Source organism: Homo sapiens, chromosome 19, assembly GCF_000001405.40.
Source record: "Homo sapiens chromosome 19, GRCh38.p14 Primary Assembly".
Lineage (NCBI taxonomy): Eukaryota > Metazoa > Chordata > Mammalia > Primates > Hominidae > Homo > Homo sapiens.
Genome location: NC_000019.10, coordinates 22,175,192 through 22,197,846, shown reverse-complemented (window position 1 = coordinate 22,197,846; position 22,655 = coordinate 22,175,192). Strand labels below are relative to the sequence as shown.

General features: G+C 36.7%; 1 protein-coding gene across 12 annotated transcripts in view; it reads left to right on the top strand.

The window, feature by feature from the left end:
• ZNF676 (zinc finger protein 676) overlaps positions 1-18,758 on the top strand; it is an 81,216-nt gene extending 62,458 nt beyond the window's left edge. For 9 of the 12 annotated variants that reach the window (XM_047438360.1, XM_047438355.1, XM_047438358.1 and 6 more), the window contains 3 exons: positions 1,121-1,247; positions 4,736-4,831; positions 16,261-18,758. In XM_047438360.1, the coding sequence (XP_047294316.1) occupies positions 1,214-1,247; positions 4,736-4,831; positions 16,261-17,897 (1,767 nt within the window). In that variant the 5' untranslated portion in view covers positions 1,121-1,213 and the 3' untranslated portion in view covers positions 17,898-18,758. The other 3 variants (NM_001001411.3, XM_047438362.1, XM_047438361.1) reach the window with 3 other exon arrangements.

Here is a 22,655-nt window from a genome sequence, read left to right as displayed (position 1 = left end):
AGGACATTAAAAAAATGTGTTCTAGTGTAATTGATGTTAATAAATCACTTGGTTGATAAGCTCTCTGACACATTTTTTTACTATGGAATTAATCATTTTCCTCTTCATCATTAAATATCTTTATGCAGCTGATGTGAATAAACCAAAACATTTAATCTGACAGCTGCCCTTCTTTCTTAGGTTTCCTTTGCATTTGTCTGTTTTTGGAAAATGAAGGCTCTTATCTTTGTTTACAAACCAGAAAAACAGAAAAACACAGGCTCATTCTATTACTGGATGTTTTAAAAAATAGTCTTTTTGGGCCAAAAACATTGGCATACTGATGAGCTTATTAGAAATTCAGCAACTCAGACTTTATCCCAGATCTGAAAAAAAAAAAATTGCATTAACAGGATCTCTAGCTTATTGCACACATTAAAATTTGAGTCATACCTTCTAACTCAACATGTCTATTCCATCTGAATAATATGCAAAACTATGTCTTTTCCATCTGAAAAATACACACGATGAATTTTTTTTTTTTTTTTTGAGATGGAGTTTCACTCTTGTTGCCCAAGCTAGAGTGCAATGAATCTTGGCTCACTGCAGCCTCCGCCTCCTGGGTTCAAGCAATTCTCCTGCCTCAGCCTCCCGAGTAGCTAGGATTACAGCCATGTGCCACCATGCATGGCTAATTTTGTGTTTTTAGTAGAGACGGGGTTTCACCATGTTGGTCAGGCTGGTCTCGAACTCCCAACCTCAGGTGATCTGCCCACCTCAGCCTCCCAAAGTGCTGGGATTACAGGCATGAGCCACCATGCCTGGCACACAATTCTGTATGATGTAAATATAGCACTCAAAATTGTACATGTTAGTGTTTTTGCCCTCAATTTTATACTTTATTATCTAGAAAAATATTACATATACACAGATGTTATGGATCTTATACCACTTTCTTTTCTCAGAGTTAGAGAATACATTAGTGAACATTTCTGTGTTGAAAACTATTTTATTGAATAATTTCAGTCATTCATATAAGTCAGAACCAGCTCTCTCTACTCTCTCCATTTTACCTTGAGTCACATTAAAAGTTCTGCCCATGACCAATTGGTAAATATATGTGTTTGTGTGTGTTTTCCAGGGAGCATTGACATTTAGGGATGTGGCCATAGAATTCTCTCTGGAGGAGTGGCAATGCCTGGATTCTACACAGCAGAATTTATATAGGAATGTGATGTTAGAGAACTACAGAAACCTGGTCTTCCTGGGTGAGAATAACTTTAATACGCAATTCCTAGTATATACTACAGGTTTCATTTTGCTGCAGACCTTATTGGACTGAACAAAGGAGGATGAATGCGAGAATACAGACAAAGACAAAAGAGTATATTTGGAAGAAGGGGTCGTGGACTCCTTGCTTCTGGTGAACAAGGGTCCTGAGCTTCTATAGCCCTTTGTATTTATTGAGTAAAGGAGATAGGGAGAAGGGGGAGGTTGTGGTCAGCTGCTTGACTTAATGCAGGCCTGCATGACTGTATTCTTTGAACAGTACTCTCCAGATGTTCCAGTAGATAACTCCAAGGAGCATGGCACCAGGGAGTGACTGTCCTCAGTATACCTTCTGGTGGCAGGAGCAGAAGCAAGTTTGCCCACATTCTGCACTCATGATAAACAGTTTGCTGTTTGATCATATAGCCTCCAGTGGAATGCTGAGTTGGTCACAACACTCAGGCATTCAGCTCCCAACATTTCCCCCTTCCTGTTTATGCATTAATCAAATAAACGTAAGGCCAGGTTGGGCAGCTCTCATTTTGTGATTGGTCCGTCGGATTTTACAGACTATGAACAGAAAACAGAGACAGAACAGCATTACTCCAAAAACTACATATGAGATGTTTGTGTGGTGCTTTAGATAGGTCCAAGGATTGAGGCTCTCCAGGCCTTGCTGGAATTCGGTCCAGTCTTCTAAAGAAGGCTGAAACTCTTGAGTTTGCTTATTTAAATCAAGAATTTTGTTTTGTAATTCACCAGTATCAAAGGTGATGTTGGGTGTGAAAGCTCCCCGCAAATGGGCTTTCACAAGGTCCCATGGATACTCGCTTTGGTTATATTCTACGTTGGTTACACATATATGAGTGTGATTTAAATGATAGCACAATTGCTCTTTCAATTGTAAGTTTTGTAATTGTTCTCCTAACCATAGAACCATGGATTTCAACATTGCCACTTGTTTATAACTCAGTGTTAATTTTATTCTTTAGTAGCCATGCTTGGTTGGCTGTATGCCTCTGCATCCAGTTCTCCACATACTGAGCTGTTGAATAGAACTATGCAAAGCTACAGAGGACATCACAATAGAAGTTATTAGTGTGACCAAGGAAACAATAGCAAAAATTATCATGCCTAAGGGTCTGCGGACACGATAAGTAAGTTGAGTTAGAAGAAGTTTCACAAAGTGCAAAGCAGGGGTGGCAGCCCAAGGCTTGGACAGATTATTAGAAATCCATAGCCCAGGGATGCGACCCAAAATGTGCCAAGACGGGGGCTAATCCTTACTGGGTATTACTGACACATCGGCTCCTGTTTCCATAAGCCCATAAAATTTCTTTCCTTTAGTTTGTACTACACAGGTGAGTCTGTTAGAGGCTATGAGTTGTGATGGATAGATTTCTCATGTAGTTGTGCTCCCAAACCCTTTATTTCCTCATTTCTCCTTTTGTGGAAAAGGGTGTAATTTGCAGGGCATAAGCAATAATTGCACTATATATTCCCCTGGTTCAAAAACCCAAAGATCTTGTGACATTAAAACTACTTGGATTTCTCCTTTATAATTGGAGTCAACTACTCCTGGGATTACAGTGATGCCTTGCAAGTTAAGGCAGCTTTTGCCTAAAATTAGTCCCATGTATCCTGCTGGTATAGGTCCCCAAATGACAGTGGGTACTTTGGTAGGTTTGTCTCCTATAACTAATGTAATTCTTTCTCTGACTGGGAGATCTAATCGTGCACTTCCTGGTGTTCCTGGGGAGAGGGAATCAATGTTTCTCCTGGGACCAACCCTTGAAGTGGGGTTGTGGCCTGAACTGGGAATGCCGTCATTGTTTGAGGGGACTGGGTCCAGGGCCCCTTCTTGTTTCCTAGCGGGGGTGTTATTATGATGAAATTTTGAGCGGCACTGATTCGCCCAATGATGTCCATTGTTACAGCCCAGTGATTCCCTTTGTTACAGCGAGGACAGAATCCTGGTGTTTTTTCTGCTCGGGGTGGGGAGCACCGCATTGTAAGGTCCTTTCTGTCCTGAGATCTGGTGGCATTCCTTTTTGAAATGTCCAGTTTTTCCACAGTTGTAACATTTTCCCACTTTAGGGTTTGAACCTTGGCTCCTTTTAGATCTGTCAACTACTAAACTAGCCATTGCTTGTGCTAACATTGTAGAACAATGAAATTCAGTTCCTGCATTCTGACAAGCTTTAAGGTAATTCCCCAAGCTTTGTGTGGATCTCACAGGAGCCATTGCACACTTGCAATCTGCATTTACATTTTCATAGGTTAGAATTATGGTAAGCATTTCTGCAGCAGGGGCATTAGGGATCTGATGCCACACTGCCTCTTGCAGCCATGTGATATATTGTGCATAAGGCTCTCATGATCCCTGCATGACATGTAGAAAGACTGCACTGGAACTCCCTCTTCAGGAATTGTGCTCCAAGCATGCTTGGCGGCTAAGGCAGACCAGTGGTAAGCAGCATCTGGGAATGTTAATTATTGTACCAGATCTGAAAATGGGCCATTGCCTGTCATCATTTTCTCTCTAATGTTTCCTTGACCAGCAGTGTGATTCTACCTAGCCTGATCTGCACACATTTCTTGCCAGTTTAAGCTCCATATCAGGTATGCACTGGCGGATAAGCAAGTGCAACCCAAATGTTTTATATCAAAGAGTGGGAGGTGCATGGCTCTGAACACCAATTCTAACAGCCCTATAGTGAATGGGCTTTGCACTCCATTATTAACCACACTAGCTTTTAATTCTTTCAGTAATTTAAACTGTACAGGAGTGTGCTCATGTAAAAGATGTTGCAGATTGTTTGGATCAGGCCTCACAGTAATAGGAAAAGCACAAGGTCCTAAAGGTTCCCTAGCCGCAGCATCAGCATGCAAAATTTTTTGTATGGGAGTTTCTACTTCTGTTATTGGAGGGGGTAGCAGAGGCCAATTCTCCTCTCCTTTTTCCTGCTTAGCAAATGGACAATTCTTCCCTTTCTCCTGCTCATTATTTTCAATAGGCGCTGTTGGAGGAAGAAATTATCTTTTTAATTCTTGAGACTCAAAACCTGACTCCTGTTGTCTGACAAAATAAGAAGGAGACAGCGGCAGTAGGACCGTGCAAACCAAACCCCAAGCAGAAAACACAGAAGGGTCTCCTTTAAGACCTTTTTGACGAACCCATTTCAATCCATCTCCTACTCTGTTCCAGTTTTCCACAGTGAGAGTACCTGCCTGCAGAAACCATGGGTTATGCGCAATAACCTTCTGAAGAAGCTTAATGTTTGTGAATTAACTTGAGCTCCAGACTGTTTCAACAGAACTTTAAGCAACTGCACATAACGTTTTTCTTCAACAGACATGTTATAATTTAGTATTTTGGGATAAATGTATTAGAATATTCTATTACATCCTCTTTACTGAGCACATTACTAAGTTGGTAATTGGAGAATATGAGCAAGATGGATGTTGTTCATTTTTAATAAAACAGGTATTGCTGCCTTTAAGCCAGACCTGATCATTTTTCTGGAGCAAGGAAAAGAGCCCTGGAATATGAAGAGACATGAGATGGTGGAAGAACCCCCAGGTAGGTGAGAGTGAATACAGACAACATGAATGAGAAGTCCAAAGTCAATGAGGAAGCCAGTCCTTAAAGTCATTTGGGAAGCTGTGTTCCAAAAGTAGTTGTTTCTGGAAAGCTAATTTTTATTTTTATTTTTTAATTTTCTCTCACACAGGGGCATCTTCTAACTTATGCTTTTAAAATTTCTAAGAATTCTTCTTTCCCTTAAGTAATTTTCCTTCAAGTTTACAGTGATAGCCAAAGTACTGTTCATGGCATACAAGAGAGTGCAATCTGACTTTTTTTTGTTTTTGTGGACACATAGATATCCGCGTAATTTTAAGGTACTCCATGTTAAACTATCTTTTAAGTTCTCTTTTTCCATCATCTCTGAAGTGTGTGAGAGTAGTGGTTTCTGTATCATTGGGGTTTTTTTGGTTCATTTTTCTGCACATTTCATTCTGTTTTTATTACTATAGTCTTGAAATATAGTTTGAAATTATAAAGTATAATATCCTTCTGCTTTTTTATTTTTCCTCAAGATTGCTTTGGCTATTCACAGTTTCTTGTAGCTTCATGTAAATTTTATGATTGTATTTTTCATTACTGTGAAAGAAAAACACTGGAATATTGACAGAGTTTACTGAATCTAGAGATCACTTTGGGTAATATGATATTTTAACATTTATTTGAATCTATAGACATAAAATATATTTAAATTTATTTGTGTTCTCTCATTTTTCATTGATAAATCCTTGAAAAGTTTTTCAGCTCCTCAATTAAATTTGTTCTCAGATATTTATTATTTTAGTGCTATTGTAAATAAGATGGTTTTCTTTTTCTATTTTATCAGATAGTTTAAGTGTATGGAATCATAACTTATACTTGTATGTTAATTTTATATTTTGCTAATTTGCTGAGTGTATTTATTAGTTTGAAAAGATTTTAATGTACTGTTTATGGTTTTTTATAGAGAACATTGCATGATCTACAAACAGCAATGTTTTACTTATTTGCCTTCAATTTCAGTGACTTAAAAATTTTTTTGACTAATTTTTCTTCCACATACTTCAAGTGCTGTGTTAAGATAGAAGCATTGTCAGTGGCACAGTATGCTTTTGCATTGGTGTCTGAATTTGAAGGAGTAAACACCTCTTAAAATTTTTATAAACTGGTTTCAGAGGGTAAAAATCTTCTTTTTTGGGGCCCCCAGGGTGATAGAATGCCCTCTGGGTTTGTAGTAGAGTGGGGTTGTAGCTTGGTCACAAGGCTGCTGGCTCTGCACTAGGGTTGGCTTATTACAAGGGGCTTGGGCAGTTGTAATTCCCATTTTATTTTTGGACAGAGTAAATATCCTTCAGGACGTTGCTCAGTAGGGTAGACGCTAGGGCAGGTTTCTACAGTCAAGTCTGCATATGGTGGGCTTTATATTAGGATGTGGATTAGTATGGCTTTTCATTGAGTACCAGAGAGGATTTCTGAGGTCACTGTGGGATTCTATGTAGGCAGAACTGGCCATGAACTGTGGCTTAGGAAGCTGGAACTGAGTCATGGAACTGCTATTGGGACGACAGTAAGGACCAAGGTCTGCAGGCCTGCCAGCATGGCTCTAAATGGGTATCAGTCTCCAAGCCTCTGGAGGACCAAGACCTCTCACAGACTGTGGCTGGGAGGAGTTTGGGATGGTTACAGAGTAAGTTCAAAATTCTCTGTGGGACCAAGTAGGGTGGGACATTTTCTGGTCTGTAGTCAAGAGCAGGGGTCCTCTAGTTTGCCACCTGAATGAAAGCTTGCCTTCTGAAAAGGGTGCTCCTCAATCTTGGGCTTTAGCAAAGTTTCACAATTCCCTCACTGGATCTCAAAGCTCTCTTAAAGGCACTTATTTTTGAGATAAGGTCTCACTACATAACCCAGGTTGGTCTTAAAGTTTTGGCCTGCAGCAATTCTCCAACCTTTCTATACCATGTAGCTGTCATTACAGATGTTAACCATGATGTCTGATTCTCTCATTAAGACATTTTTGTCGTGGATGACTGACAGACTTTCTTGCTGTTGGGGGTTAAGCAAATAGGGGACCTTTTTCTTTTTATCTGTTTCTAAGAGTGTAATTGCTTTATATCTATCTATCTCATAGAATCTTTGTCTTTTTATGGCTGACTCATTTCATTTTGCATAATGTTATCAAGATTTATCTTTATAATTGCTTTATAATTTCTGCTTTTGAAAACTGAGTGATATTCCAGTATTTTTATATTTCAAATTATATTTACTGAATGATTTGGTAACAAATTTGCATTGCCTTTATTAGTTTACAGTAATAATTATTGCTATGTAAATGACTCCTCATATGACCATATATCTTAAAGTGTGTATGTATATATATATATATATATATATATATATATATATGTTGCATTCTATTTTATTAGTCTAATTTTTCATCCTTATACTTAACCAGATTGTTTTAATTCTGTAGCTTGGAATGTCTTTTGAAATCAGGAACTTTAATGCCTGCAACATTGCTTTATTATTATTATTATTTTAAGATTGTTGGGTATTGTCTTTTGAGATTCTATATACTTTTAGGGTTGCTGTTTCTATTTTTTCAAAAATGCAGTGAGAAATTTGAGGAACATTTCATTAACTGTGTAGATTACATTGAGCAGGATGAACATCTTTACAGTATTATTACAACCTTTGCATAAGAGCGTGCTCGAGTGTTTTGTTAAATTCCTGTATATTTGAGAAGATGCTGTGTTTTGTTTTCTGTTCTTGTGTTAGTTTGCTGAGAATGATGGTTTCCAGCTTCATCCGTGTCCCTGCAAAGGATGTGAATTCATTTTTTTTATGGCTGCATAGTATTCCATGGTGTATATGTACCACATTTTCTTTATCCAGTATATTACTGATGGGCATTTGGCTTGGTTCCAAATCTTTGCTATTGTGAATAGTGCTGCAGTAAACATACATGTGCATGTGTCTTTATAGTAGAATGATTTATAAACTTTTGATTATATACCCAGTAATGGGATTACTGGGTCAAATGGTATTTCTAGTTCTAGATCCTTGAGGAATCGCCACATTGTCTTCCACAATGGCTGAACTAATTTACACTCCACTCAGCAGTGTAAAAGCTTTTCTACTTCTCCACATCTTTGCAGCATCTGTTGTTTCCTGGCTTCTTAATGATCTCCATTCTAACTGGTGTGAGATGGTATCTCATTTTGGTTTTGACTTACATTTCTCTAATGACCAGTAATGATGTGCTTTTTTTCATGTGTCTGTTCGCTGCATAAATGTCTTCTTTTGAGAAGTGTCTGTTCATATCCTTTGCCCAATTTTTGATGGGGTTGTTTGTTTTTTTTCTTGTAAATTTGTTTAAGTTCTTTGTAGATCCTGGATATTAGCCCTTTGTCAGATGGATAGATTGCAAAATTTTTCTCCCATTCTGTAGGTTGCCTGTTCACTCTGATGATAGTTTCTTTTGCTGTGTAGAAGCTCTTTAGTTAAATTAGGTCCCTTTTGTCAATTTTGGCTTTCATTGCCATTGCTTTTGCTCTTTTAGTCATGAAGTATTTGCCCATGCTTGTGTCCTGAGTAGTATTCTCTAGGTTTTCTTCTAGGATTTTTATGGTTTGGGGTATTACATCATCTTTAAATCTTTTACATCTTTAAATCAATTTGAGTTAATTTTTGTATAAGGTGTAAGGAAGGGGTCCAGTTTCATTTTTCTGCATATGGCTAGCAAGTTTTTTCAACATCATTTATTAAATAGGGAATCCTTTCCCCATTTCTTGTTTTTGTCAGGTTTGTCAAAGATCAGATGGTTGTAGATGTGTGAGGTTATTTCTGAGGGCTCTGTTCTGTTTCAGTTGTCTATATATCTGTTTGGATACCAGTACCATACTGTTTTGGTTACTGTAGCCTTGTAGTATAATTTGAAGTCAGGTATCATGATGCCTCCAGCTTTGTTCTTTTTGCTTAGGATTGCCTTGGCCATGTGAGATTTTTTTTTTGGTTCCATATGAAATTTAAAGTAGTTTTTTCTAATTCTGTGAAGAAAGTAAATGGTAGCTTGATGGGAATGGCATTGAATCTGTAAATTACTTTGGGCAGTATGGCCATTTTCACGATATTGATTGTTCCTATGCATGAGCGTGGAATGTTCTTCCATTTGTTTGTGTCCTCTCTTATTTTCTTGAGCTGTGGTTTGTAGTTCTCCTTGAAGAGTTCCTTCACATCCCTTGTAAGTTGTATTCCTAGGTATTTTATTCTCTTTGTAGCAATTGTAAATGGGAGTTCACTCATGATTTGGCTCTCTATTATTGGTGTATAAGAATGCTTGTGATTTTTTCACATTGATTTTCTATCCTGAGACTTTGCTGAAGTTGCTTATCAGCTTAGGTAGATTTTGGGCTGAGACAATGGGGTTTTCTAAATATACAAACATGTCATCTGCAAATAGAGACTATTTGACTTCCTCTTTTCCTATTTGAATATCATTTATTTCTTTTTCTTGCCTGATTGCCCTCACCAGAACTTCCAATACTATGTTGAATAGGAGTGGTGAGAGAGGGCATCCTTGTCTTGTGCCAGTTTTCAAAGGGAATGCTTACAGTTTTGCCCATTCAGTATGATATTGTCTGTGGGTTTGTCATAAATACATCTTATTATTTTGAGATATGTTCCATCTCTACCTAGTTTAGTGAGAGTTTTTAGCACGAAAGGTGTTGAATTTTGTCAAAAGCCTTTCCTGCATCTATTGAGATAATCATGTGGTTTTTGTCTTTGGTTCTGTTTATGTGATAGATTACATTTATTGATTTGTGTATGTTGAACAAACCTTGCATTCCAGGGATGAAGCCAACTTGATCTTGGTGGATAAGCTTTTTGATGTGCTGCTGGATTCGGTTTACCAGTATTTTATTGAGGAGTTTTGCATCAGTGTTCATCAGGGATATTGGCCTGAAATTTTCTTTTTTTGTTGTGTCTCTGCCAGGCTTTGGTATCAGGATGATGCTGGCCTCATAAAATGAGTTATGGAAGAGTCCCTCTTTTTCTATTGTTGGGAATAGTTTCAGAAAGAATCGGCTCTTCTTTGTACCTCTGGTACAAAGGCTGTGAATCCATCAGATTCTGGACATTTTTGGTTGGTAGGCCCATAAGTACCGCCTCAATTTCAGAACTTGTTATTGGTCTATGCAGGGATTTGACTTCTTCCTGATTTAGACTTGGGAGGGTGTATGTGTCCTGGGATTTATTCATTTCTTCTAGATTTTCTAGTTTATTTGCATAGAGACGTTTATAGTATTCTCTCATGGTAGTTTGTATTTCTGTGGAATCAGTGGCGGTGTCCCCTTTATTATTTTTGATTGCATCTATTTGATTCTTCTCTCCTTTCTTCCTTTTTAGACTGGCTAGCAGTCTATCTATTTTGTTGATCTTTTTGAAAAAAAAAATAGCTCCTGGATTCACTGATTTTTTTGAAGGGTTTTTTGTGTCTATCTCCTTCAGTTCTGCTCTGTTCTTAGTTATTTCTTGTATTCTGCTAGGGTTTGAATTTGATTGTTCTTCTCTAGTTCTTTTAATTGTGATTTTAAGTTGTCAATTTTAGATCTTTCCTGCTTTCTCTTGTGGGCATTTAGTGCTACAAATTTTGTAGACACTGCTGCTTTGTCTGTGTCCCAGAGATTCTGGTATGTTTTGTCTTTGTTCTCATTGGTTTCAAAGAACTTTTTTATTTCTGCCTTCATTTAATTATTTACCCTGTAGTCATTCAGGAGCAGGTTGTTAATTTTCCATGTAATTGTACGGTTTTGCGTGAGTTTCTCAATCCTGAGTTCTAATTTGATTGCACTGTGGTCTGAGAGACTGTTTGTTATTATTTCTGTTTTTTTACTTTTGCTGAGGACTGTTTTACTTCCAATTATGTGGTTAATTTTAGAATAAGTGTGATGTGATGCTGAGAAGAATGTATATTCTGTTGATTTGGGGTAGAGCCCTGTAGATGTCTATTAGGTCTGCTTGAGTTCAAGTCCTGAACATCCTTGTTAGTTTTTTGTCTCATTTATCTGTCTAATATTGACAGTGGGGTGTTAAAGTCTCCCACTATTACAGTATGGGAATCTAAGTTTCTTTGTAGGTCTTTAAGAACTTGCTTTATGATTCTGGGTGCTCCTGTGTTGGGCGCATATATATTTACGATAGTTAGCTCTTCTTGTTGCATTGATCCTTTTACCATTATGTAATGCCCATCTTTGTCTCTTTTGATCTTTGTTGGCTGAACATCTGTTTTATCAGAGAATAGAATTGCAGCCCCTGCTTTCTTTTGCTTTCCATTTGCTTGGTAAATATTCCTCCATCAATTTATTTTGAGCCTATATGTGTCTTTGCATGTGAGATGGATCTCCTGAATACAGCACTTTGTTGGATCTTGAATCTTTATTCAATTTGCCAGTCTGTGTCTTTTAATTGGGGCATTTAGCCTGTTTACATTTAAGGTTAATATTGTTATGTGTGAATTTGATCCTGTCATTATGATGCTAGCTGGTTATTTTGCCCATTAGTTGATGCAGTTTCTTCATAGTGTCGATGGTCTTTACAATTTGGTATGTTTTTGCAGTGGCTGGTTTACCAGTTGTTCCTTTTGATGTTCAGTGCTTCCTTTAGGAGCTCTTGTAAGGCAGGCCTGGTGGTGACAAAATCTCTCAGCATTTGCTTGTCTGTAAAGGATTTTATTTCACCTTCGCTTATGAAGCTTAGTTTGGCTGGATATGAAATTCTGGGTTGAAAATTCCTATCTTTAAGAATGTTGAATATTGGCCCCCCAGTCTTCTGGCTTGTAGGGTTTCTGCAGAGAGATCCACTGTTAGTCTGATGGGCTTTGCTTTGTGGGTAACCCTACATTTCTGTGTGGCTGCCCTCAACATTTTTTTCTTCATTTCAACCTTGGTGAATCTGACGATTCTCTCTCTTGGGGTTGCTATTCTTGAGGAGCATCTTTGTGGTGTTCTCTGTATTTTCTGAATTTGAATGTTGGCCTGTCGTGCTATGTTGGGGACATTCTCCTGGATGATATCCTGAAGAGTGTTTTCCTACTTGGTTCCATTCTCCCCATCACTTTCAGGTACCCCAATCAAACGAAGATTTGGTCCTTTCATAGTCCCATATTTCTTGGAGGCTTTGTTTGTTTCTCTTTATTCTTTTTTCTCTAATCTTGTATTCTTGCTTTATTTCATTAAGCTGATCTTCAATCTCTGATATCCTTTCTTCTGCATTATCGATTCAGCTATTGATACTTATGCATGCTTCACAAAGTTCTCGTGCTGTGTTTTTCATCTCCATCAGGTCATTTATGTTCTTCTCTAAACTGATTATTCTCATTAGCAATCCTTCTAACCTTTTTTCAAGGTTCTTAGCTTCCTGGCATTGGGTTAGAACACGCTCCTTTAGCTTGGAGGAGTTTGTTATTACCCACCTCTGAAATTTGCAAATTTGAATTTGTCAATTCGTCAAACTCATTCTCCATTCAGTTTTGTTTTTTTTTTTTTGCTGGTGATGAGTTGTGATCCTTTGGAGGAGAATAGGCATTCTGGTTTTTGGAATTTTCAGCCTTTTTGCACTGGTTTCTCCCCATCTTTATGGATTTATTGACTTTTGGTCTTTGATGTTGATGACCTTCGGATGGTGTCTCTGAGTAAACATCCTTTTTGTAGATGTTGCTTCTATTCCTTTCTGTTTGTTAGTTTTCCTTTTAACAGTCAGGCCTCCCTGCTGCAGATCTGCTAGACCTTGCTGGAGGTCCACTCCAGACCCTTTTTCCTGGGTATCACCAGCAGAGGCTGCAGAATAACAAAGATTGCTGCCTGTTCCTTCCTCTGGAAGGTTTGTCCCAGAGGCCACCTGCCAGATGCCAGCCAGAGCTCTCTTGTATGAGGTCTCTATCAGCTTCTACTGGGAGGTGTCTCTTAATCAGGAGACACGGATGTCAGGGACCAACTTGAGGTGGCAGTATGACCCTTAGCAGCGCTTGAACGCTGTGCTGGTAGATGCACTGCTCTCTTCAGAGTTGTCCAGCAGGGATGTTTAAGTCTGCTGAAGCTGTGCTCCCAGCTGTCCCTTCCCCCAGGTGCTCTGTCCCAGGGAGATGGGTGTTTTTACTATATGCCCCCGACTGTGGCTGCTGCCTTTTTTTTTTTTTTTTTTTTTTTTTTCAAAGATGCCCTGCCCAAAGAGGAGGAACCTGGAGATACAGTCTGGTCTTGCTAGCTGCGGTGGGCTCCACCCAGTTCAATCTTCTGGGTGGCTTTATAGGGTAAAGCTGCCTACTCAAGCCTCAGCAATGGCAGACGCCCTTCCCCCACCAAGCTCGAGCTTCCCAGGTCAAGCTTAGACTGCTGTGCTTGCAGCCAGAATTTCAAGCCAGTGGGTCCTAGTTTGCTGGGCTCCATGGTGTGGGACCCACTGAGCCAGGCCACTTGACTCCCTGGCTTCAGCCTTCTTTCCAGGGGAGTGAATGGTTCTGTCTCACTGGCCTTCTGGGCACTATACTGGGGTATGGGGAAAAAAAAGAAAAAACTCTTGCAGCTAGTTTGGTGTCTGCCCAAACGGCCTCCCAGTTTTGTGCTTGAAACCCAGGGCCCTGGTGTCATAGGCACCAGAGGGAATCTTCTGGTCTGTGGGTTGTGAAGACCATGGAAAAGCACAGTATCTGGGCTGGAGAGCACTGTTCTTTATGGTACAGTCCCTAAACCCTTCCTTTGGCTAGGAGAGGGAGTTCCCCAACCCCTTGCACTTCCTGGGTGAGGCAACACTGCACCCCACTTCGGCTCACCCTCCATGAGCTGCATCCACTGTTCAACCAGTCCCGTTGAGATAAACCGGGTACCTCAGTTGGAAATGCAGAAACCACCCACCTTCTGTGTCAGTCTTGCTGGGAGCTGCAGATCAGAGCTGTTCCTATTTGGCCATCTTGCCAGCCTCCTCTATTTTCATTTTTATTACCGAAAGTGTGGTATAATAATATCCTACTATAATTATATTGATCTCCTTGTGTTTCTTCTATTCTATCAATATTTGCTTTATATATTTGTAATCCTAATGTGAGACACACACATACACACATTCAGATTTTTCACAGATTCCCAGTTAATCTATTATTTTTTAATATCTTTCTTTGTCTCTTTGGAGTTTCATTGTCAAGTGCATTTTATAAAATATGAGTCTTTGACTTAAGATTTAGCTTGTGTAATATTATTTTGACCTCTTCTGCTCTCACTTGACTAATATTTGCATGAAATGTCTACTTCCATCTTGCCACTTTGAGTCTTTTTAACATTAGATTTCAACTGACTCTTGTAGAAAGGCAAGTTGGATCTTGATATTTAAAATTTTTTAAATAACCTGGGCATGGCGGCTCGTGCCTATAATCCTAGCACTTTAGGTGGCCAAGGCAGGTGGATCACCCAAGGTGTGAGGGGTTCCAGACCAGCCTGGCCAACATTGTGAAACCTCATCTCTACTAAAAATACATAAATTAACTGGTAGTGTTGGTAGACTTTTGTAATCCCAGCTACTCGGGAGTGTGAGGCAGGAGAACTGCTTGAACCTGGGTGGCAGAGGTTACGGTGAGCTGAGATAGTGTCATTGCACTCCAGCCTGGGCAACAAGAGTAAAACTTTGTCTCAAAAGAAAAAATGTTAATAAATCTATTAAAATTCTGTTGATTTGAAAGTTAATTTTCCGTATATTTAAATAATTTTCTGAAAGTAAAGGAGTTACTTTTATTTTATTACCTATTCTATTTAATTCTTTCATCTTGTCCCTCATTTTCTCTTTCTGTCTTCCTTTGTTTCTTTCTGGTTTTCGTATTGATATGCTTTCATTTTCTTATTTTTCTTTTGTGTATGTATACAGATTTTTTTGTGTGGTATCTTGGGGATTACATAAAACCTCTAAAAATAAAACAATATATTTTAATCAGGTGAAAAATTAACTTCAGTTGCATAAAAAAGTCCTCCTTATTATGTCTGCTCTTAAATTTTTCACTGATGTTGCTAAGTTTATCTATTTATGTTGTATATTCATTAACAGATGTTTATAATAATTCCTGTGCTTTTATCTCTCAAATGTTAGAGAATAATTAAAAATGTTTTCTGCACCATTAGAATAATGCTAGAAATTCAATTTTTTTGTGTGTGCATATCTTTCCTAGAAAATAATGTATTTTTATATGACTAGGTGTTGTTTTCTTACATTATGTTATTTTCAGTGGTAAGAACTACTTTCAGCATCTTTCCTATGGAAGACGTATGCAGTGCAAAATATACTTTTTAAGAATTTGGTTATTTTGAAAGCTCTTTTTTTTTTTTTCTTTTAGGCAGGACAGATTTGCTGATGGTATTTATTCTCACTTTATAGCTTCTTTTTTTTGTTTGCTTTTTTTTTTTTTTTTTAGAACTTTGACTATATCACACTGTTCTCTTCTATCCTGCAAATCTTTTGTTGACAATTCACTGGTTATTTTTGTTCTTATCCTCATTTTTCTCATTTTCTATAGTCTTTTGTGTTCCTGCTTCACTCATTGAGTGCTATTCAATTTTTAAAATTAGTATATACATTTTCAATGGTTTCTTTCTGAAAACTTTATAATATTTTTGATAAGATTATATTGCCCTATTTTGTATAGACTGTAATCTTTGAGATTTGGACATTTAAAAAGGCCACCTGTCACAAAATTTATAATGTAGCTTTGTCCTGGCATAGTCAGAAAATAATGGTCTTGGCTAGAGATTATGTGGGTCTCTCAAACATCTTCAGGTTTGTCTTGTCTGAAATTTTGTGTTTATTTTTAGTTAAAAGAGACTATTTATGTTTCTTCTGAAAAGTAATCACTTGGTACACCTGTACTCTCTCTGTGGCACTGCAGTGCTCTGCTGCAGTGCATTTACCTTTGATCTCAGCAGGCTCAAACTTTCATTTCAAAGTATACCACCATGTATTTCAGCACTTTATGTCATGAGAGACAGAAACCAGTGTGTGGAAAGAGCCATAGAAGACAAAAATTAAATTGGATGTGTCAATATTTTACTTTCCTTAAAAAAAAAAAAAAATCAGAAATGGACAATTTGCTTCTGAAGGGACTAGGTAATATTGAGGAGCAGAAAGAGTTGTATTGGGTAAATTTAACAAACTTTTCTTGTTTTCTATGTGGCTCTTTGCATTGGGCTTAATTGAGGAAATGCACACACTTAACTCATGTATAAATTATTCACATATGTATTTTGGTCTATATGTTTTTATTACATTTATATATCTATGAAGAATTAGGGCCTGTGTCATATTGCAATGTCGTCTTGCTTATGTAGTTTGAATAATTTTATAGGTTAGATTTGGAAACTGTACTTATCTGAGTCTAATATGTAGATTAATTTGTTATTTTTATTTCTTTTCAGTTATATGTTCTCATTTTTCCCAAGAGTTTTGGCCAGAGCAAGGCATAGAAGATTCTTTCCAAAAAATGATATTGAGAAGATATGACAAATGTGGACATGAGAATTTACACTTAAAAATTAGTTGTACCAATGTGGATGAGTGTAACGTGCACAAAGAAGGTTATAATAAACTTAACCAGAGTTTAACAACTACACAGAGCAAAGTATTTCAATGTGGCAAATATGCAAACGTCTTTCATAAATGTTCAAATTCAAACAGACATAAGATAAGGCATACTGGAGAGAAAGGTTTGAAATGTAAAGAATATGTCAGATCATTTTGCATGCTTTCACACCTATCTCAACATGAAAGAATTTATACTAGAGAGAATTCCTACAAATGTGAAGAAAATGGCAAAGCTTTTAACTGGTCCTCAACCCTTACTTATTATAAGAGTATTCATACTGGAGAGAAACCCTACAAATGTGAAGAATGTGGCAAAGCCTTTAGTAAGTTCTCAATCCTTACTAAACATAAGGTAATTCATACTGGAGAGAAACCCTACAAATGTGAAGAATGTGGCAAAGCTTTTAATCGATCCTCAATCCTTACTAAACATAAGATAATTCATACTGGAGAGAAACCCTACAAATGTGAAGAATGTGGCAAAGGATTTAGTAGCGTCTCAACCCTTAATACACATAAGGCAATTCATGCTGAAGAGAAGCCCTACAAATGTGAAGAATGTGGCAAAGCTTCCAACTCGTCCTCAAAGCTCATGGAACATAAGAGAATTCATACTGGAGAGAAACCCTACAAGTGTGAAGAATGTGGCAAAGCCTTCAGCTGGTCCTCAAGCCTTACTGAACACAAGAGAATTCATGCTGGAGAGAAACCCTACAAATGTGAAGAATGCGGGAAAGCTTTTAATCGATCCTCAATCCTTACTAAACATAAGATTATTCATACTGGAGAGAAACCCTACAAATGTGAAGGATGTGGCAAAGCCTTTAGTAAGGTCTCAACCCTTAATACACATAAGGCAATTCATGCTGAAGAGAAGCCCTACAAATGTGAAGAATGTGGCAAAGCTTCCAACTCATCCTCAAAGCTCATGGAACATAAGAGAATTCATACTGGAGAGAAACCCTACAAGTGTGAAGAATGTGGCAAAGCCTTCAGCTGGTCCTCAAGCCTTACTGAACACAAGAGAATTCATGCTGGAGAGAAACCCTACAAATGTGAAGAATGTGGCAAAGCCTTCACCTGGTCCTCAAGCTTTACTAAACACAAGAGAATTCATGCTGCAGAGAAACCTTACAAATGTGAAGAATGTGGCAAAGGCTTTAGTACGTTCTCAATCCTTACTAAACATAAGATAATTCATACTGGAGAGAAACGCTACAAATGTGAAGAATGTGGCAAAGCCTTCAGCTGGTCCTCGATCCTTACTGAACATAAGATAATTCATACTGGAGAGAAACCCTACAAATGTGAAGAATGTGGCAAAGCCTTCAGCAGATCCTCAAGCCTTACTAGACACAAGAGAATTCATACTGGAGAGAAACCCTACAAATGTGAAGAATGTGGCAAAGCTTTTAAGTCATCCTCAACTGTTAGTTATCATAAGAAAATTCATACTGGAGAGAATCCCTAAAAATGTGAAGAATGTGGTAAATCCTTCAGCTGATTCTCAGTCTAGTAAACATAAGAAAATTCATACTGGAGAGAAAATCTACAAAGGTGAAGAATGTGGCAAAGCTTTTAAACAGTCCTCAATCTTTATTACACATAAGAAAATTCATGCTGGAGAGAAACACTACAAACGTGAAGAATGTGACAAAGGCTTCAACCGGTCCTCAAACCTTGTGGAACATAAGAGAATTCATACTGGAGAGAAACCCTACAAATGCGAAGAATGTGATAAAGACTTCAACTGTTCCTCACACCTTACTACTCATAAAAGAATTCATACTGGAGGAAAAGCCCTACAAATGTGAAAAACGTGGCAAAGCTTTTCATTAGTTCTCAACCCTTACTGAACATAAGGGAATTTATACAGGAGGGAAACCCTACAAATGTGAAGAATGTGGCAAGCCTTTTAGCTGTTCCTCAATCCTTACTAAACATTCATGTAATTCATACTGGAGGGAATTCCTATAATTGTGTGGAATGTGGCAAAGCCTTTAACCAGTCCTTAAGGCTTACTACATATAAGACAACTCATACTGGAGAGAAACCATGCATGTGTGAAGAATGTGGGAAAGCCTCTAACAGATCCTCAATTCTTAAGAAACATAGGCTAATTCATACATGAGAGACTCTACAAACCTGAAAGATGTGACAATGCTTTTGGCAACACCTCAGACTTTTCTGAATATAAAAGAAATCATATGAATGAGAAATCCTAGAAATGTGAAGAATGTGACAAAGCCTTTAAATGGCTGTCACACTTGATTGTAGGTAAGATAATATACTGGAGAAAACTACTAGAATAAACAATGTGGCACACATTTAACCAATACTCATGCCTTATTGCAAAGGAAAGCATTTATATACTAGCCTGGGCAACAGAGAGACTGGGAAAAAAAAATTGTGAATGCCACTAATATCTTCTCACATCTTATTCAACACCAGAGAGTTCATATTAAATAAAGTATTAAAAGTACAATTATTGTCACTAGATCTTTCAGAAAATAAAAGCCCTTAAAATACAGAAGAATATTTATTTTGAGGAAAAACATTACAAATATAAAGAGGGTTGTAGTGCCTTTACTTGTATCACAGATTTTATTGTACACATTTTGTACTACAGGAAAACCTTAGGTAGTTGTTCCAACTTTGCTAAACATCAGGGAATTTATATTGAATGACCGTGCAAATTTAATAAATTTGGAAAAACATTTTTACAAAAACTACAGAATTATAAAACACAAAAGAGTTTATACTAAAATATATTTTTGCAGATACAGTAAATATAAAAATATTTAATCCAAAATTGTTTATGTAAATATAGATAATTCACAGTAGAAATACCTATCTCTCAAACTTCAGACATTACACTAAATCAGACTGCTGAGTATAGGAAAAAATCCAAAACTAAAGTTGTTAAAAAGAAAAATTATTTGTATATGACTTTGAAAGAAGTAGACCTTTGAAGAGTTACATTTACATTTAAAGTATACTTTTATCTTAAAAATACCGATTTTTTTTTTTTTTTTTTTTTTTTGCCAGACACAGTGGCTTACACCTGTAAGGCCAATACTTTGTGATGCCAAGATGGGCAGATCACCTGAGGTCAGGAGTTCAAGACCAGCCTGGCCAACAAGGTGGAACCCCATGTCTACTAAAAATAAATACAAAAATTAGCCAAACATGGTGGTGCACACCTGTAGTCCCAGCTACTTGGGAGGCTGAGGCATGAGAATCACTTGAACCTGGGAGCCAGAGGTTTCAGTGAGCTGAGATTTTGCCACTGCACTGAAGCCCGGGTGATAATGAGATTGTCTCAAAAGAAAAAAAAAAGCTTATTTGGAAACTGAATAATGACGGAATTCAACTCTTAAATTGCTTCATGCTATTTCTTAATTTCTCTTGTATTCCCATATAAAAGCATGTGATCAATTCTTTCTGCATCAAAGATTTGGGAGACTTTTTACATGGTCATTATGACATTTCTTATGGATGACTAAGGACATTAAAATGTAAGATGCACGATGAAAATCTAAGTAGGAAGGCTATTTGTGATTAACTTATAGAATTGAGTGATGTATGAGGTAGGCATTCAGAGTTTTTTTTTTTTTTTTTTTTGAGAGGGAATCTCACTCTGTTTCCCAGGCTGGAGTGCAGTGGTATGATCTCAGCTCACTGTAAGCTCCTCCTCCCAGGTTCAAGATATTCTCCTGTCTCAGCCTCCCAAGAAGCTGAGATTACAGGTGCCCACAACCACATCCAGCTAATTTTTGTATTTTAGTAAAACAAGGTTTTGCCATGTTGGCCAGGCTGTTCTTGAACTTTTGACCTCATGTGATCTGTCTGCCTTGGCCTCCCAAAGTGCTGTGATAATAGGTGTGAGCCACTGCACCTGGCTCTAAGTGATGTACTAATGTAGTATTATGAGAGAATATTATGAGAGAATAACATATTTTATAGTTAAAATTAATTAAATTAGTATGTCATTTTATTAATTGTACTTTTATGTGATAAAATTGCATTTTTAAAGTTTTAGATTATGTGTTAATTTTTTATTTCAACATTTATAACATGTTAAATACTGTTATACATTCAATAAAGTGTTATTATGCCACTAGTTTTAACCTATTCCACCTTACTTAAGGGTATATTTAAAAGATGGTAACAATACACTATTTGGTAACATAATAGACTAACATCTCTAGTATTCTTTTTCAGTGGCTTTAAACTGCAAATAAGTTAAAGAATATGGTTCCTGCAGGTTAAATTTTTTTTACATTTAAATTTTTCTTAGTTTTTGTGTGTACATAATATGTGTATACATTTATGCCATAGATGGCATATTTTGATACAGTCATACAATATATAATAATCACATTGTGATAAATAAGGTACCTATAACCTCTGGCTTTTATGTTTTGTATTACAAACCAATTCTACAGTCTTAGTTATTCTAAATTGTACAATTAAATTGTTATTGACTACATGGTTATTTTTATGGTCATCATAAAAATTGTAAATAAGTGTAAATAAAATCAATATATTTCTGAGTCCTGAATAATTTTCAAAAATTTATTATGTATTTTTTGCACATGTGGCCTCTGCCTGAAAGCACATAATCGAGTTTTAGTTTTGACTTACATAGAGTTAAATATACACATCTATTAGTCTAAAGATATAACTTAGGTTTAAGGAGTAAGTGTGTTTGTTTGACTGTAAGTTTGTAACTATTTTCAGGAGAAAAGAGGAATATTGAAACCACAAAGCATTTAATAAGATGTCTAATTTACTAGGAAACAAAAATCCTCAAAAATGCTAAAAGCAAATGTAGGCTGGGCGCGGTGGCTCACGCCTGTAATCCCAGCACTTTGGGAGGCTGAGGCGGGCGGATCACGAGGTCAGGAGATCGAGACCCCTGACCTCTACTAAACCCCGTCTCTACTAAAAATACAAAAATTAAAAAAATAAAATAAAAGCAAATGTATACTCTCTGCTTTGTATTCAATTTATACACCTATCTTATAGCTTATCATTTAGAATATTTCCATGTAAATTTTGTTTTTACTTGCATGATACTCATGCTAGACCCATAATCTTTTTGTTTCTTATTTTTTTGTTTTATAGTTTATGAAGTATTTAATCTGAGCTGATTTGTAGTTAAAAGAATAATTTTTGTAAAATTTCATCATGCAAACAAAATTATTTTTAGATATAATTCCACAATTTGTGTATTGTTACATTTTATTTAGTTAAAACATTCCATTAGCTTCTATGGGAGAACCATATATAGGCTTACTTTAGTTATTGTTCCCTTAACTTTTTATAAGTAACAAAAGTAAATTTTATTTATTGAGTCAATTTGTTTCAGTAAGTACTAGGGAAGCTTCATAAGTCATGTGGATGCTTTTATATATAAATGTAGCAAACAAACATGACAGTGCTCAGTGTGTAACAGATGCTTTATAATTAGTCATAAATATTCCTGCTGAAGTTTGTAACTTCAAGTCAGAGATGGAAAATACAAATTGTGAAGAAATAACATTGATTCTTCATGTGAGCAGAACATCTTTTTCCAGGCTGCAAAGCTGAATCTTGCTGAATTTAAAGAGAAATGCTTCATTCACGTCTTAATTATCTAAGTTTTGTCTTTTTAAGTGCACTCAAACCATATATGCATCACAGTCCTTTTTCTGTGTTATGGCTACAGTTTTCTCACTGTTGTTTTCATGCCATGCGATTTCACATGGTATGTTGTAGGTTTTAAGGAGAACATCGGTATTTTTTAATGCACTGAAACATTGGTTTTAACTGGAAAGTTTGCTTATCAGTATAACTTTAAGATTGGTTAATTAACATAAAAGACATACACTGTCTACCGAAGAGAGGATTAAATCAACATGGTGTTTCTTTGTAAAAGAAAAATATTAGATTTTTATACATAGTGTGGCAAATACATAATTTGCTAGACCATATGTATATTATAAAGATTCAATTTTTAAGAGAATAGTAAGTAAGCAATTTTAAATTTAGTTATTTAGGATGTACTTAGAGCACAACCTACATTTCCATGCAAAATTGTCTATTTTAAAGTGAATGTTAAAGGTTGCAAAACAATAAAATAACCTGTAAATTTGGAATAATATTTATTTTCCATATTGATACTACAATTTGGAGAAATGTATCGCTCACTTTTTAAATAAAAATTTTAGTGGCTGAAGTTTAG